At 37.2% G+C, this 18829-nt stretch overlaps 1 annotated feature.

Moving 5' to 3' along the window:
* Positions 9258–10457: an enhancer, noted in NCBI's record as "CDK7 strongly-dependent group 2 enhancer chr5:97803996-97805195 (GRCh37/hg19 assembly coordinates)". NCBI's record gives its function as "activates an origin of replication core promoter dependent on BRD2, BRD4, P300/CBP, MED14 and CDK7 cofactors, with strong dependence on CDK7, by STARR-seq in HCT116 cells {active_cell/tissue: HCT116}" and the evidence as "EXISTENCE:reporter gene assay evidence [ECO:0000049][PMID:35650434]".

Here is an 18829-nt window from a genome sequence, read left to right on the forward strand (position 1 = left end):
AGATTAGCTCCTACCTTCAGACTTTTCAACAGTTTCCCCAAATTATTACTGTTCCATCCCACCACCACCAGAAAACCACTGGTATGGCCTTTCTCATCATTTAGGTTTCAGACGACATTTGATCACCTCATCTAAAGTTGCCAACTACATTGACCAGTCATCCTCTAACATATCTCCTTGTATTATTATCTTCATACCATGACTTGTACCTATTAAGTTGTGAGATGAAAACTTTTTCTTGGCTGGGTGTGGTGCCTCACACCTGTAATCCCAGCACTTTGGGAGGCCAAGGCAGGCAGATCACCTGAGGTCGGGAGTTCGAGACCAGCCTGACCAACATGGAGAAACCCCCTCTCTACTAAAAATACAAAAAATTAGCTGGGCGTGGTGGCGCATGCCTGTAATCCCAGCTACTCGGGAGGCTGAGGCAGGAGAATCACTTGAACCTGGGAGGCAGAGGTTGCAGAGAGCCAAGATCACATCATTGCACTCCAGCCTGGGCAACAAGAGTGAAACTCTGTCTCAAAACAAAACAAACAAACAAAAAAACAACTTTTTCTGTCCTCCTAATATATGGCATTGCAGAGTTTAAGTCATTTGTGCAATGTTACATTGCTAGCACCAGATTAAAACTCAGTCTGGCTCCAATGCCTCTACTCTTGATCACTATGCTCCACTTCCTTGTTAAGCACTTCACCTATTTTCTCATTTAACACAAAATATTGTGATGGTTTTAAGTGCAAGTGCTAGAATAGCTAATTCAAACTGACTTAAATGACAAGCATCTGTACTATATTACATAAAGAAAGTCTTCCAGGTGGTGATGTAATCAAGGATGCAGACTGTCCATCTTTCTGCTCTGCTATACACTGTAGGTCAGTGATGCCTCCCCTCAGGGTCAGAGGACTAAAGCAATTTCAGACTTCACACTTGAGAAGAACATAGTAAGGAAAGATGGCCTTTTTGTCCATGAATATATTTTATTGGAGAAAGAACCTTTCCCAAGAGGAGTTCAGTGGTATCTCCCTGGATCCAAGTGACCAGGCCTGGGTCATATGACCCTGATCTGACTGAAGAGAGGTTGAGAAAGGAACTGATATGTGGAGGAACTGCCTCTAGAATTAGAGGCAGACTTTGACAGAACGTGGGTGTATATGTGTGTAAAAGCAAGACCAAGCATATGCAGTGTGCAGAGGGAAGTAAGCCGAGAGAGTGCTAGGATGGCAGTGGGTAAGCAATTAGCAGTGCCTCCCAGAAGCAAACATTCTATCCTTATATCACAGATGTGAAAACAGACTCCAAGAAGTTAAAAACTTGCAGAAAGTCACCTAACTGGTAAGAGGCAAAATTGGATTCAAATCTAGAGTATGGTAATAAAATGAGAACTGTAACAACCATACTATACTGACTCCACATTAACCCCTAATCTATGCCATAATGTTTGCCTTAATCCATATAATTCATTGGTGACTTATGCTTTGGTTTGTAACTTGGTATCTTCACGTTATATTCAACTTCCTTTTCTTACAAAAGCCATCTTACCCTTGACTGCTGCACACAACTTAGGTTAAATGTGTCAAAATATTATTCAATGTCAAGGTTCTCAATATTTTTGAGTTCCTAAAATTGTATCCTGTGGTGACTTAGAGAGGAACAGATACAAGAATAGCTATTTATTGAAGGCTCAACTAAGCATTGCCTGTGTAACCATGACTGACTCATCCTTGTAATTTTAAAGACAGCTACATAATATAAAACAGCATAGATGCTTAAAATAAGTTTTTATTTTTGTTTAACATGTAACCACATTATAAAGTTGTATCATGCATTTCTCAACTTAGAATTTAAGTGCATTTCCTTTCAGTCTTTTTCTTTAAATGTTATAATTAGAATTAACACTTATATTAACATTTGGTACCCTTATTTTTTACTTAGCTTTGAAACAAAATATAATTTTATGTTTACCATATAAGCTTTAAAATCATCATTTAAATATGCAATATTTCAGCATTTAGGTGCATCTTAATCATTGCCTAATGTTGAGCATTCAGTGTTTCCAATTGTTCTGCTATTATAAGCAATGTGTGACACGCGTCTCTGTGCATATTCTGAATTATTTTCTTAGACCATATTCCCAGAAGTGGAATGATTAAATCCAAGAAGATGAAAGATTTTTTTTATCAAGGAGTTTGCCAAATTGCTTTCTGAAAGTATGGGGTCAATTTACACTGTGATCAGTAATATATGGGAGCAGTAATTTCTGTGCTCTCACACTCGGTGAGAAATACATTTCTAAATCGATAACTTAAAGTGAGCCTTCATTTTGTAATATGAGAAAAAGAAAAGAGAGAAGTTGAGGGAAAAGAGTCATAGAATCTACGCACTCTGTTAGGGCTCACAGTTTAGAAGGGACAAAATAAATACAAATACATGTCAGTAAAACACTATTGCGGATAGAGAATGGACAGAGAAACTATGTAGTGAGAGAAATGTGTCCTGGCTATTGTGGAAGCTTGGAAAGTAGAACAGCACTTGAGATACCTCATTAAAGGGCAAGGAGGGGAAAGGTGGGTAGAGAGGGCACACAAATTATAGGCATAAGCAAGAGCAAAGACGTGTGTAATCAATGAGGGACATGTTGCAATTTGCAGTCTGAGGTCATAAGAGAGTCAAATGGGAGTCAAAGAATGAAAGAGAATTCTGGTAGGAGAGACAGAGTAAGATCTCGGAGGGTATTATGTGATGTAATAGCTTATATGTAATCCTGTAGATTATGGAAGAATCACTGCACAGTCTTAAGAAAAAAGTGGGCAAGTCAAACTTCTTTTTAAATCACTGTATTTCATCATGCAGTCTATAAAAGCAACATCAGCATCACCCAGGAGGCAAAGAAATGCAAATCCTCAGTCCCAAATGAGATGTACTAAGTCCAAACTCCAGGACAGCCCAGCAATTTGTATTTTAACAGCACTCCAAGTGGATCTGATGTGCAGAAAAGTTTGGGAACCACTAACTTAAATTAACATTCTGGTTGCTTTGATGGGGTAAGGCTAAATGTAAGAGGACCAGTCAGGAGGCTGCTGTGAAGATCAAGTGGAGACATGATGGGTCCTAAACTTGAGTAGGGGGATTGAAACCATTCAGGTGGACTGAGTTTACATAGGAGAAGTATGTAGATTGGGAACTTTTGGCTTAGGACAGAACCCTGGGGTTATATACAAATTATTAAGAAGAGGCGAGGCTAGGCACAGTGGCTCATACCTGTAATCCCAGCATTTTGGGAGGCCAAGGTGGATGAATGGCTTGCGCTCAGGAGTTCAAGACCAGCCTGGGCAACAGGGTAAAGCCGTCTCTACAAAAAATACAAAAATTAGCCAAGCACGGTGGCATGTACCTGTAGTCCCAATTATTCAGAAGGCTGAGGTGAGATCACTTAAGCCCGGGAGGCGGAGGCTGCAGTGAGCCATGTTTGTGCCACTGTACTCCAGCCTGGGTTAAAAAGCGAGATCCTGTCTCAAAATAATAATAGTAATAAATAAGATGCCAAAGAAGAAACTCTCTTTAAGAAAAGAAAAGATATAGTTAAGGAAGTGCGAGAAGGGAAAACGGTGAATATCAGGAAAGCCAAAGAGAGAGAATTTTAAGAGGATTTGAGAATCCCAAGTCAGATGAGGAACAGTACTTCAAAAACAGGAAGACAAAAGAGCATATTATATTTTGTAATCAGGGCATCATTTTTAACTTTAGAGAAAGCAGTTATAGTGCAGCATTGAAGATGGAATCCAATTAAAGGAAGATAAAGAAGAGATGCCATTTGAAAGAATGCAAGAAACTGCATAGATCCAGAGGTCAACAAATATTTTCAGAAAAGGCCGAATAGTAAATATTTTAGGATGATGGGCCTATGGTCTCTGTGGCAATTACACAACTGTGATATTGTAGAGCAAAAAGTGGCCATAGACAATATATAAATGAATGTTCATGGGTCTTCCCATGACTTTACTTATAAGAACAGGTGGCCTGCTAGTAAGTCATAAAGTGCCAACCTCTGGGTTAGACAATTGCAATAGGATTAAGGAAAGGTTTTTTTCCTTTTGTTTACTTTTGCTGTTTTTAAAATGAGAAAGTAATGTACATATTTATAAGCTAGAAAAAAGAGTCAGTAAAAATTAACTGTCAGTAAAATTAAAGAATGCACCTAGTCTTTTATTTAACAATATTTACTGTACTTATACTATGTTCCAAGCATTATTCTAGGCATTGAGACTTTGGGAATAAACAAGATAGACAAGGTCCCAAGGACATCAAAAATGACAGAATCAACAGATAACGCAAAAGATATACTAGATGATGATACGTGCCATAAAAAAGAAAGACCAATAAAATAGGGTGATGTAAAGCGAGTGCCAGCTGGGCTACTCTAGCTTTACAAACAGGAAAGACTTTTCTGAGGAAGTTGTATTTAAGCCTTGCTATGGTCTGAATGTTTGCGTTCCCTCAAAATTCATATATTGAGACTTAATCCCCAATATGGTAGTATTAAGAGGTAAAGTCTTTGGGAGGTCACAAGAGCTCTGCAACTGCCCTCATGAACAGGATTAGTGCCATTATAAAGGAGGCTGAAGGGAGATTCTTTGCCCCTTCCACCATGTGAGGATGGAGAGAAAGCACTACCTATGAGGAATGGGCCTTCACTGGACACCAAATCTGCTGGTATCTTGATCTTGGACCTCCCAGCCTCCAGAACGGTGAACAATAAATTTCTATTGTTTGTAAATTACACAGTTTAAGGCGTTTTGTAATAAGAGCCTGAACAGACTAAGACATGTCTTGACCTGAATGCCTAGAAAGTGCAGTAGAGAGACGTAGTGACTGGAAGAACAAGTCTCTAGGAGGAAGGAGTGTAGGGACCAAAGGGATGAATTCGACTTGGATGAAGGAAAACTGCTCATCTTATCAGGCAAAGAAATAGGTGGAAAGGTTGGCCATATGTTTCCTTAAGTTCATAGATGGAAAGAGCAAAAGGTTCAGAATGACTACGTTTAGATTTCATGATAAGATTACCCAACTAGAATGGTTAGAATGGAAGTTAAATTGAGAATGTAGGTAGAGTTGTGAATAATTGGTGGGGGTGGGGAATTGGTGGGGAAAGGACAAGAAAACTCACCAGAGTCAGATGGAATTAAAAGGTAGCAGTGAAAATACATCCATATTGGGCATAGCCATGAGAAATGTCTGCCTACTTGAATACTGCCAATGTCATCAGGAAGAGAGACTTGCAGCATGTTCTGCAGGGAACAAAATGTAATTCAAACACATGTGTCCCTGACCAAACCACTACATTCATGTTGTATTTGAAGATTAAATGATCTATAGTACAGATTCACAGAGATAAGCTCACTCAAGAGAGTATGTTTCACAAACTTATAGGCAAAGACTAGAAACTGTGGAAACCATTTGTATCACCTAACATGTCCTATCACAATGACTTATAAGACAGTGAAATTGAAGCCTTATATATGTTTTCAAAAATACACTGGAAGCTGCTGTGGGACACTGCAGTATGTGCCACAGGGTAGAAAGAGGTACCATCTGTCAGGGAAAAGAGTTATTTTGGAAAACCCACAAAATGTAAGAAAGGAGAGAATCAGAACAGATCCAAAGTATGGCAAATTAGATAAAGTGGGAAAACAGGCCTTAGCCAGCTGGATGGAATGTAGGGTTTTATACTCCTAACAGTTACTAGGGACTGTAAGGGTAGAAACAAGACAAAGAAATCCTAAAACTTGGTACTCAATTCCTCAGCTAAGTGGACTTCGGAAGTTGAGCATGAGATGGTTTGTAGCATCTTAGAATTTTCAGCTCCGAGAAACTCAGAGATGAGGTTTCACTTCCCCAAGTGCTATTAAATAGCTTGCAAGAAGTTGAAAAGAAAACCCCTAGGGACAAATTCTAAGGAAATGTTGAAACAATGTTTCAATGTTGGGCATACCATAAAAATAAACCAAAAATCTGATGAATTAAAATAGAGAAGGAGAATCCAAAAACTAAGTGAAAGAGAAAGTAGATATGAATTAAAAGATTTTGAGTAGAAGACAGTACAATATAGAACAGTTACTATCTGTGCCAGTGAAAGTAGAGCAACTGTGACTTTTTCTAGAAGCCCGAAGTCTTAATGTAATCAGGAACATGGCCCTAAGAGTACATATCTAGATCTAGGAAACATATCAGCCTCTGGCATGGCAGATTGATAGACAAGCCAGAATCACTGAACAAGACTTGATATTTTTACTCCTAGGGATAAGTAGGCCAAAGTTTATTTTCAAACTCAGGCAGGGCATTGGACAAGGGTTGTCTCTAGACTATTTTCAAAGTTCCTCCATGTTCCTAGCATGAGATTGGTCATCCTGCTACAAAGAATGGGAATAGGGCTGGGATAAGGTAGTGCATTACAGTCAACCACCATTATTACATATTAAGACAGAATTCCTGATTTTAGGTAAGAATTTATATTTCTCCTATAATTTTCTACTGTTCCATGGATATTTCCTGCCTATTCTAGGACACAGGTGATACAGCAAATTTCAATGATGTATCAAAAAGACACAACACAAAAACAGATACAGTGTTGATGCAATATATCAGTGCATGTCAAAATATGTTCAATGGAATATTAGTGAATGTGATGAACAAAAAGGATTTTATGATTAAAAAGCATGAGAAACACCCAGTTCAATGAAGTAAATATATTCTATATTACCGTACTTCTCAGAGGTATTGATATCATAAATTGATTGTAGCTTTCCAAAGGAAGTATATAGAATAGAGTACTTATCAATGTTATCTGACCATGGAACACATTTTGAAAGTACATTTAGTGAGACTTGTTTTCTATAGCACGCTTTATAAAATCTTTTACAGTTAAGAAAAAAATGATGCGAGAAGGATAGTACAATTTCATCTTCTACTGTACAGCACCAATGTACTGCCCATTCAACATAAAAAAAAAAAATCCTGGAGAGAATCTACAGGTGAAAACACAGAGATATATACAAGATGTCCAGAAGAGCCTTGTTTATAACAGCCCTATCTAAAAGTCCACCAACAGGAAAATAGACAAATAAGTTTTTATATATTTACGCAAAGAAAAATAATACAACTATAAAAATAAAATAAAAAACATTTCATACAGCAACACAGGTGATAAAATTATTTTTAAAGAGGAAAGTATTATGGTTATATTTGTCTCCTCCAAAATTCATGAATATTTGTCCCCTCAAAAACTCATAATTAAACTTAATTCCCAAAGTGGCAGAAGTGAGAGATGGGGCCTTAAAGAGGTAATTGTGGCCAGGCGGTGGCTCAGGCCTGTAATCCTAGCATTTTGGGAGGCTGAGGCTTGCAGACTGCCTGAGCTCAGGATTTCAAGACCAGCCAGGACAACATGGGGAAACTCCACCTCTACTAAAACTACAAAAAATTAGCGGGCTGTGGTGGTGGGTGCCTGTAGTCCCAGTTACTTGGGAGGCTGAGGCATGAGAATCCCTTGAACATGGGAGGTGGAGGTTGCAGTGAGCCAAAATCACTCCACTGCCCTCCAGCCTGAGTGACAGAGTGAGACTCTGTATCCAAAAAAAAAAAAAAGAGGTAATTGTGTCACGAGGACTCTGCTTTCATGAATGAACTAATCCGTTCGTGGATTAACGAGTAATCAGAGAAGTGGGACTGGTGGCTTTTTAAGAAAAGGAAGAGACCAAAGTTACCATGCTCAGACCCCTTGCCATGAGATGCCCTGCACTACCTCATGACTCTGCAGGGTCCCCACCAGCAAGATGACCTTCACTAAATGCAGTCCCTCAATTCGACTTCTCAGCCTCCATAACGTTAAGAAAAATAGTTTTCTCAAAGATAAAGAGGGCATTATACAATGATAAAGAGTTCAACACAACAAGATTTAACCATCCTAGATATATATGCACCCAACATCAGAGCATTCAGATTTATAAGACAAATACTACTAGACCTATAAAAAGAGATAGACAGCCATACAATAATAGTTGAGGACTTCAACATCAACACTTCACTGACAGCACTAGACAGATGATTGAGTTAGAAAACTAACAAACAAACTCTAGATTTAAGTTGGACTCTTGACCTAAGTTGGACTCTTGACCAAATGGACCTAGTAGACATCTATAGAACACTCCACCCGACAACTGCAAAATACACATTTTTCTCATCTGCACATGGAACATTCTCTAAAATTGGCCATCTGCTTGGTTGTAAAGAAAGTCTGAATAAATTCAAAGAAATCAAAACTACATCAAACATCTTCTCAGATCACAGTGGAATAAAATTAGAAATCGATACCAAGAAGAACTCCAAAAATCACACAAGTACATAGAAACTAAACAATTTGCCCCTGGCTGACTTTTGGGTAAACAAAAAACTAAGACAGAAGTAAAAAAAATACAATTGAAACAAATGAAAATAGAGACACAACATACATACCAAAAGCTCTGGGATACAGTAAATGCAGTGTTAAGAGGAAAGTTTATAGCACTAAATGCCTACATAAAAAAACATCTCAAATTAAGAACCTAATATCACACCTAAAGGAACTAGAAAAACAAGTACAAATGAAACCCCAAGCTACCAACAAAAAAGAAATAACAAAGATCAGAACAGAACTAAATGAAATTGAGACCAAAAGAAATCATACAAAGGATTAATGAAATGAAAGTTGGTTCTTTCTTTGAAAGGATAAATAAAATTGACAGACCATTAACTATAATAACCAACAAAAAAGAGAGAATATTCAAACACAATCAGAAATGACAAAGGTGACATTATAACTTATACCACAGAAATACGAAAGATCCTCAGAGACAACTGTGAACATCTCTATGTACACAAACCAAAAAACCTAGAGAAAATGGATAAATTCTCAGAAATGTACAACCTCCGAAGATTGGACCAGGAAGAAGTTGAGATCCTGAATAGCCCAAGAGCAAATTATAAAATTGAATAAGTAATGAAAAATCTACCAAACAAAAGAGCCCTAGACCAGATGGATTTACAGCCAAATCTTCCCAGACATACAAAGAGCTGGTATCGATTTAATGGAAACTATTCCCAAAAAATCAAGGAGGGATTCCTCCCTAACTCATTCTACAAAACAGTTATCAACAAAATCTGGTAATGATACAACAAAAAAAGAAAACTACAGCCCAATATCCCTGATGAACATAGACACAAACATCTTCAACAAATACCATCAAAGTGAATCCAACAGCATATCAAAAATAGAATTCATCATGACCAAGTGAGCTTTATTCCTGGAATGCATGGATGATTCAGCAGACACGAATCAGTAAGTATGATTCACCACATAAACAGAATTAAAAACAAAAACCGTATGATCATCTCAACGTACACAGAAAAAGCCTTCAATAAAATCCACATCCTTTCATGATAAAAACCTTCAACAAACTAGGCATCAAAGGAACACACCCCAAAATAATAATTATTATTTTGACAAACTCACAGTGAACATCATATTGAACAGGCTAAAGTTGAAAGTATTTCTCCTAAAAACTGGAGCGAGATAAGGATGTCCACTTTCACCACTCTAATTCAATACAGTACTGGAAGCCCTAGCCAGGGCAATCAGGCAAGACAAAAATAAATAAATAAAAGGCATCCTAATGAGAAATGAAGGAGTCAAATTGTATGCCACATGGTCCTATACCTAGAGGACCCTAAAGATCCTCTAAAACACCTCTAGACCTGATAAACAACATCAGTAAAATTTCAGAACACAAAATTAATACTGAAAAACCAGTTGCTTTTCTATACACCAACAATGCTCAAGCTGAAAACCAAATCAAGAATTCAATCCAATTTACAAATACTGCGTCCAGAATTGGTTCCTTCTGGTGGGTTCTTGATCTCGCTGAATTCAAGAATGAAGCCGCAGACCCTCGAGGTGAGTGTTACAGTTCTTAAAGATGGTGTGTCCGGAGTTTGTTCCTTCAGATGTTCAGATGTGTCCAGAGTTTCTTCCTTCCAGTGGGCTCGTGGTCTCACTTGACTCCAGGAGTGAAGCCACAGACCTTCGCAGTGAGTGTTACAGCTCTTAAAGGTGGCACCTCTGGAGTTGTTTGTTTCTCCTGGTGGGTTTGTTGCCTCCCTGGCTTCAGAAGTGAAGCTGCACACCTTCGTGGTTAGTGTTACAGCTCATAAAGGTAGTGCGGACCCAAAGACTGAGTAGCAACAAGATTTATTGCAAAAAGCAAAACAACAAAGCTTCACAACGTGGAAGCAGACCCAGGCGAGTTGCCACTGCCTGCTTTTATTCCCTTATTTAGCCCCACCCACATCCTGCTGATTGGTCCATTTTGACAGAGTGCTGACTGGTGCATTTACAAACCTTTAGCTAGACACAGAGCACTGATTGGTGCATTTACAATCCTTTAGCTAGACAGAAAAGTTCTCCAAGTCCCCACCTGGCCCAGAAGCCCAGCCAGCTTCAGCTCTCAGTACCACACACATAAAAGAAATACTTATGAATACATTTAATCGAAGAGGTGAAAGGTCTCTGAAAAAGAACTATAAAACATTGATGAAAGAAACTGTAGATGACACAAACAAATGGGAAAAGGTCCCATGCTCGTGGACAGGAATATTCTTAATATTCTCTTTTTTTTTTTTTTCTTGAGATGGAGTCTCGCTCTGTCACCCAGGCTGGAGTGCAGTGGTGTGATCTCAGCTCACTGCAACCTCCGCCTCCCAGGTTCAAGCAATTCTCCTGCCTCTGCCTCCCAAGTAGCTGGGACTACAGAAATGCGCCACCAAGCCAGGCTAATTTTTTTGTATTTTTAGTAGAGACGGGGTTTCACCATGTTGGTCAGGCTCGTCTTGAACCCCTGACCTCAAATGATCTGCCGGCTTTAGCCCCGCAAAGTGCTGGGATTACAAGCGTGAGCCACCGTGCCCAGTCTCAATATTCTTAAAATGACTATATGGCCCAAAGCAATCTACAGATTCAACACAATACCTGTCAGATTACCAACACTGTTTATCATAGCATTAGAATAAAAATATCTAAAATTTATACCAAACCAAAAAGAGCATGAATAGTCAAAGCAATCCTAAGCAAAAAGGAGAAAGCCAGAGGCAACATATCACCCAACTTCAAACTATAGTAACCAAAACAGCATGGTACTGGTACAAAAATAGACATATAGATCAATGAAACAGAATAGAGAACACAGAAATAAAGCCACATACCTACCATCAACTGATTTTCAGCAAAGTTGACAAAAATTGACAATGTGGAAAGGATTAAATAAATGGTGTTGGGAAAACTAGATAGCAATATCCAGAAGAAAGGATTCCTCTTGAGGAATCTCAAATCAATCCGAGTTAATTTTTGGATATAGAGGGAGGTATGGGACCATATACAAAAAAATGAACTCGAGATAGATTAAAGATTTAAATGTAAGACCTGAAACTGCAAAAATCCTACAGGAAAACCTGGAAATGATTCTTCTGAACATTGTCCTTGAATTTATGACTAAAACCTCAAAAGCAAATGCAATGAAAACAAAAATAGATAAATGGAACTTAATTAAGGAGCTTAGTAAACAATCAACAGAGTAAACAGACAACCTACAGAGTGGAAGAAAATATTTTCAAATTATGCATCTAACAAAGGACTAATATTCAGAATCTACAAGGAATTTAACAAATTAACAAGAATAAAACAGCCCCGTTGAAAAGCAGGCAAATGACATGAACAGACACCGCTCCAAAGAAGACAGACAAGTAGCCAAAAAAATATAAAAAAATGCTCAACATCATTCATCATCAGAGAAATGCAAGTTAAAACCACAATGAGATACCATCTCACACCAGCCAGAATGGCTATTAATAAAAAGTCAAAAAATGACAGATGTTGGCAAGTATGCAGAGTAAATGGAACACTTATATACTGTTGGTGGAAATGCATATTAGTTCAATCCCTATGGAAAACAGTATGGAGATTTCTCAAAGAACTAAAAATAGAACTACCATTCAACCCAGCAGTCCCACTACTGGGTATCTACCCAAAGGAAAGGAAATCATTTTATCAAAAAGACACCTGCACTTGTATGTTATTGCAGCACTATTCACAATAGCAAAGTCATGGAATCGATCTAAGTGTCTGTCAACAATGGACTGGATAAAGAAAATGTGATACATATATACACCATGAAATGTTACACAGCCATAAAAAAGAATAAAATCTTGTCCTTCACACCAACATGGATGTAGCAAGAGGCCAGTATCCTACATGAAATAACTCAGAAACAGAAAATCAAACACCACATGTATTCACTTATAAGTAGGAGCTAGTCAATGGGTATATATGGACATAAAGATGGAAATGATAGACACTTTCAACTTAAATGTAGGAAGGGTGGGAGAGGGAGAAAGGGTTGAAAAACTACCTATTGGCTATTATGTTCACTATTTGGGTGATGGGTTCACTGCAAGCCCAAACTCCAGTATTACACAATATATCAATATATATTGATATATGATATCGATATACCATATATCAATATATCGATACATCAAATATATGTATTGATATATCAGTATATCAAATATACTATGTAATAAACCTTCAATGTACCCCTAAATCTATAATTTTTTAACAGAAGAGTTTTAGTTGCTCCAAATATATACCAAAATGCTTTAAGAGTCTAAACTCTTCAAGTTGTACAATTTAAATATATTCAGTTATTGTGTTTTGATTATACCTTAATAAAAGCTACCAAAATCATAACTGAAAAAAATTTTTCTTTATAAATTACTGTTTCAGGTATTCTGTTATAAGCAACAGAAAGCAAACTATAACACAAGGGAATGGCAAACACAAAATTTAGGGTGAGTGGGGGAGGCAAGTGGATTGAATAGGGAGGAAACACAGATAGAGCCAACAGTGTGGATAAGTTCTAACTCTTAACTTGGGAATTCTCTAGGGGTGTTCATTTGATTATGTTTCATAGTACACATATTTGCTGTGGTTTTCTTTAATGTCTATCAAGTATCATGTAATGAAATGTAATCTCCAAAAACTAATTGTTGCCTGGCGCATAATAGGCACTCAATAAATATTTGTTTAATCACCAAAATTATTAAGCCCAGTAGGGTACCAAGGCAATAGAGCTCCCTCATTGACATTAAGGTGGTTAATGTTGACGAATGTCCAGAGAGATATTAAGAACATAGACACCTGTGCCCAAGCCTGGAGGGTGGAAGCACCTACAAATTATTGAGAATGAAAGTTGTGCCACTGCCCAGAAACAGAGGACCCAGAGATGGACCTAGGATTATTTACATGAAATAAGAAAAGTAGTATTTCACACATACCTGTATTCATAGGCCAATAATCATATTTAGTACATGTTTTTCAAAATAGTCAACTACTATAGAGCAATCCAACACCCAGTGATGTAAGGTATTGAATTTGACAATCAATCCCAATATTTGTGTACTTTCTGGAATGTCAACTTGGGCATCATGATGTTACATAATATAAATTACTGTTTGAATCACTGAACCTCTTCTGCTTTTTGTAAGATGAAGGTGAGTTCCACTGCAAATTGCTGTATGAGACTGAGACTCCAGCTCTTCACTGAAAAAATAGAAACCACAACAGAACTAAATCACAAAGTATAAAAGTTTTTGTTGCTATTGCAAGCATCAACACCTCCAAAAATATCTTTATTATTTATTAAGTGGTGACCCTCAGTATCAGCGTTCCCAAAAGCAATGGTTCTCAACATGTGGCTCCCTAGTCCAATAGTGTCAGTGTCACCTGGGAAACTGTCAGAAATGCAAATTTCTAGGTTTAATCCCAGACCTACTGAATCTGAAAACCTGGTATTGTAGCCTAAGAATCTGAGTTTTATCAAGCTCTCTAGATCTCAGACATTCATAAAGTTTCAGTACTGCTGCTTAGAATAATAGAGAAATCCTCACCAAAAAAGTAATCCTTTGCTGATGAAAAGATTATTTTAGCCAAGGCGTCTCTGTGGTTCATATATGTTTTTATCTTTCTTAAGTTTCTTAACTTAATTAAAAAAGAGTAGTTCAGAAGGGCTTTTCCTCCAATGATGATCCTTAAAGTCTTAGCTATCCTTACCTGTTTTATTAACCAAACACAATAGTGCCAGACACATAAGCTTCTCAGGAACCACTGAGAAGTATTGTTCAGATCAGGGTAAGATAGAATTTTGAAACTTGAATTTAACAGTAAATCAAGTGCTTGCACAATTTTCCCAGCGTCTCAGAGCTCTTTTGCATGCAGGGGAAAAGAGCTTGTTGTATTTCCTGCAGGAGGCTGGTATGAGTGTCAATTTTTTTAATTGTTAATGTTCAGGGTGAGCAATCTGTGAGAGCCCTCGGGTGCTTTGGGAATGAAGATGAGATACAACACAACATGGTGCAGCTTCTTCTAAAAACTATTAAAGATTATTTATCCTAAGCAAATATGGGCTCTTGGGTTTTTTCCATGTGCAGAAGAAATCATTCTCTCAGGAGCCTGGCTTTGCAGAATAATTTATATAGAAAATCATGAATCCCCTGGGGAAAGCATACAAATCACCTACAATAGAGGGAGAATATGGATAAAAATTCTTGCCAAGAAAGATGGTTTCCAGGGATCTACAAACAAGGACTCTTAGAATATCTAAAAAACTAGCTTCAGTTTTAAAATATCTCAGAAGTTCTAAAACAAAGATATTAGAAAGAAACATGGGATTTGCAAATATTTTTGAAGTAGCAAGAATAGTCAGAATGATGAACAGAATCTAAACAAGTGATTCGACAGTTAATTATGTATTACTTTAAGACATCTCCAAAGCCTTAAAAAGCTTATTGTTCCTGAATGTATTATTCAGTGTTAATATGCGCTTGTGCTGCTTTGTTTTCCCACCAAACTGATAAGCAAATACAACAGTGTCTTATAGAAATGGTCTTTACTTTCCATCATGAGACATTCATAAAAAGGCTATAATCCAGTGGATCTTTGCAAATCAAGTTATATGATTCTATACCTAAAATGCTATAACTGAGGGATAAGTTCCCATAACATCTCAACATCCAATGTATCACAAGCTAGAGTTGAAGAATAGATTCTACAACTTGCTTCCAAAAAGACATATCCTCTGTCTCTCTCCTCCACGACAGCTTTAAAAACTGTCCACCTTTCTCACTATATTCCACATTGTAGTGGCTCAATTCCAAGACCAAGTATCCCTAGAGAACCAGCAGAAGCTGTATCAGTTTTTATGGCCTAACCTCAGAAGTTATAAAACACCACTTCCGCCACAGTCAAAAGTCCATCAGGATTCAAAAGAAGGGAAAATAGGACCCACCTCTTGATGGGAGAAGTGTCAAAGTCTCACCAAAGGAACATAAGAGGTAAGTGATATTGTCATGACTATGTTTGGAAAATATAATCTGCCACAGATTGAACACACATCTAATCTTGGTCCCTCCTGAAATTTCACTAAGACAATATTAAATTGATTTCTTTCCCAAAGCGTAAACCCCCAAACACAGGGAGAAGGAAAGAAGAAGCAACAATGAAAGTTTAGAAGCTGGAAAGCAGATGTTCAACTGGCAAAGGACTTAACAGACCCCAGAAAACTGAATCTCATACTAACAACAAGGAAAGCTGAAAACTCATTGGATTTATAATACAGAATCCTCCAAAGACTAAGCATATGGTAGCATTAGATATCATTATAAGTGTGAGAAGGAAAGAGCTAAAACAATGAGGATTTTTAAAAGCAATCGAATCCATCAGAGGCCTCCTCAGATTTAGGCAGCCAAACGACTGCACGTCTCCCATGATTGCACAATACTGGAGGCATGTTCTCTTTAAGCAATAAAACAGGGAGGGCTTTGAACTACAGAGTCAAGGGCAGAGGTAACATGGTGAAAAGAGGGGGATTAAGTATGTCCACTGCTGACTAAGACCTCCAGCTGTCCTTCCTTAGTTGGCTTCCAAAAAAGTAGCAGCTAGGCCTTCACTCTCCAGGCAGAGGACTGGAAACATCATCTCTGAGAAAACTTAGCACTTCAAGATAATGTATTTAAAGGTCACAAGACTAAAAGGCTCCACTGCATCATCCTAATGTGATGTTCTGAGATGATAAGACCCACTCATGCCTCAGAGTTTCCAATCAACTTTCTTGGCCCTCCAGAATTACAAGATATCTGAGGAAAGCCTGAAACATGAAAGGTAAGAAAAATTGGAAAAGCAACATGAAGAAAATAGACCATGCAAAGAAGAGAGAAGTTTTCTAATGTGTATATTATTAATACTCATTGAAACAAAAGAAAAGATACAACTGTGGGGAGAAAAACAGGATGTTATGCTAAAAGGAACATTCGGAGAACCAAAAGAGCTCCCAAGTAGCAAAAATATGATAAAAAATAACACTAAAATCTCCTCCTCCTCCCCAACCTCCCCACAAAAAAAAAAAAAAAAAAAAAACCTGATAGTACAAAGTGTTAAAAAGATGGCATGACTTCCAGGTCACTTGACTCCGAAGGACATAATGTACATGAGCTGGTAAACTGACAAATACAGATTTAATGAAATTGTTTCAAATTATAAACATAACAACTAGTAGAAATAAAAACCTTCTTAGAAATCATCCTCAGAGGCAAGAATACAAAGAAAACATTGATTTCATGTAACAGCAAACAAGAAGAGTAGCAAAAATAATTTTAAATTTTAAAAAAATGAAAGTAACAAGAAAAATGAAAAGATCAATCCAGAAGGTCCAGTTTTAAATAGTATTCCATAAATGGAAAACTGAAAAAGAAGGGAAGAAAATTACAAATAAAATAGTTCAAAAACAATTTTCAAAATTGAAGGACCTTAAGATTCCAAGATGAAAGAAACATTAAATGTCTGATGTAATGGAGACAAATAGACCTGTATCTGAGCACATCATTTCGATACTTCAGAATACTGAGGACTAAGAGAAGATTCAACAAGCTTTCAGAAAGAAAAAGAAATAGTTCTCCTAAAAAGGAACAGGAATCAAAATGGCTTCAGACTCTTCTCAGCAGCAACTTCAGAAACTGGGAGCATCAAAAGCTAAGAAAGAAATGACTTCAGATTTCTGATGGAAAATGAATTCTATACCAAGGCAAATTCTCAATAAGGTCTAAAAAAGTTAAAGACGTTTTCACATGAGGCAGTCTCCAAAGTTTTACCCCCATCCATCCTTTCTCAAGGAGTGCCTAGAGGCTCTGCTCCACCAAAACACATTTTAAAATGCACAGGAAATAGGGAAGAACACAAGAAAGAAAGAATGAGTCCCTAGGATGATGGGGACAGAAGATCCCAGAATGACAGCTGAGTCACCAGACATAGAGGGTGACCAGGCCAGAATGGAGCAGGTCAGAGGGTTCAGGAAATACTTCTTCTGGAATACTAAATTAATAGAATATTTGATGCACAGAAGTTTGTGGTTGAAAAGGTAATGTGTTCATAAAAACTAAGCAAAACCAGACAGCTTTTCACTTTGTAGAAAACTTAAACATTGTACCAGAGAAGAAAAGTGATGGAGTTCACTAAATAAGTCAGCTGTGAGAAGTGTTTACATAGTCATAACAATAATGTAAACAGTCAGTATTTATCTAATCAAAATTACCACATAACTTTAGTGGGAAGGTGGAGAGATGGGATGGCTGAGCCTATTTGTCAGAGGTGCAGGGAACAATGAGGTGAGCAAAAACCACCTTTTCGATAGTGGGAAGTCAACAGATTATACCTGACACTGAAAACTCAGAGATAATACTACAACTATAACACTCAGCAACAGAGAGACAAGTAACAAAATAATTAGCTGGAAGTGGTTTCCTCTAGGGAGAGTAGTAAAGAGGTGTCTTTCATAAGAACCTTTGTAAAAGTTTTGACTTTTTAGTCAAATAAAGAAATACACGGGGGAAATAAACCTTTGTAAAAGTTTTGACTTTTTAGTCAAATAAAGAAATACACGGGGGAAATAAACCTTTGTAAAAGTTTTGACTTTTTAGTCAAATAAAGAAAAATACGGGGGAAAATGAAAGAGCATCATTCAAACAGGAATATCTACATCAGCTTATTGGGAAATATAAGAATTAAGGCACATTTTTGAGGTGGTTTAACCATGCCAGTGATAAATTACAAACATCGGAATTTTGCTTCCCAATTTCTCTGCTATCAGGACCTAATAGAAATCAAAGGCACTATTTAAATTTTCAACTGTTTTCAAGTCAGTTTCACTATTGTAACTTACTAATTCTCATAGCATTCTGAATAGATAAAACATTCATTGGCAAGCTCTTGAGACTGAAAATGTGCATTTGAGGCAACCATGTCCTTAAAAGCAGCCATTTACAATGGATTAGAAGAGTGCATGTCTTATGATTTTTATTATCTAATTGTAAAGTTATTTATAAGGTCTAAACCATCCTTTGAGAATAATGATAATACACTTGAAAATAACACTTCTGGATCATTTCTTTGAGGTTTTATGTATTTCCTTAACTCTTAAAAGGTTTTTGCTCACCTCTTTGCTCCCTGCACCTGACAAATAGGCTCAGCCTTTCCATCACATTTTTCCCATTTCATTTTTCCCCGTGTTTCACTTTAAGACTAATTGTAGACACACTTTGCTGAAAAACCATAAAATTCTGCTTCAACATACTTAGAGTTAACTAGTTTTTAGCATGCTAAGTCATGCATAATATTTAATGACCATCAAATTTT

This window comes from Homo sapiens, chromosome 5 (genome assembly GCF_000001405.40).
Source record: "Homo sapiens chromosome 5, GRCh38.p14 Primary Assembly".
Lineage (NCBI taxonomy): Eukaryota > Metazoa > Chordata > Mammalia > Primates > Hominidae > Homo > Homo sapiens.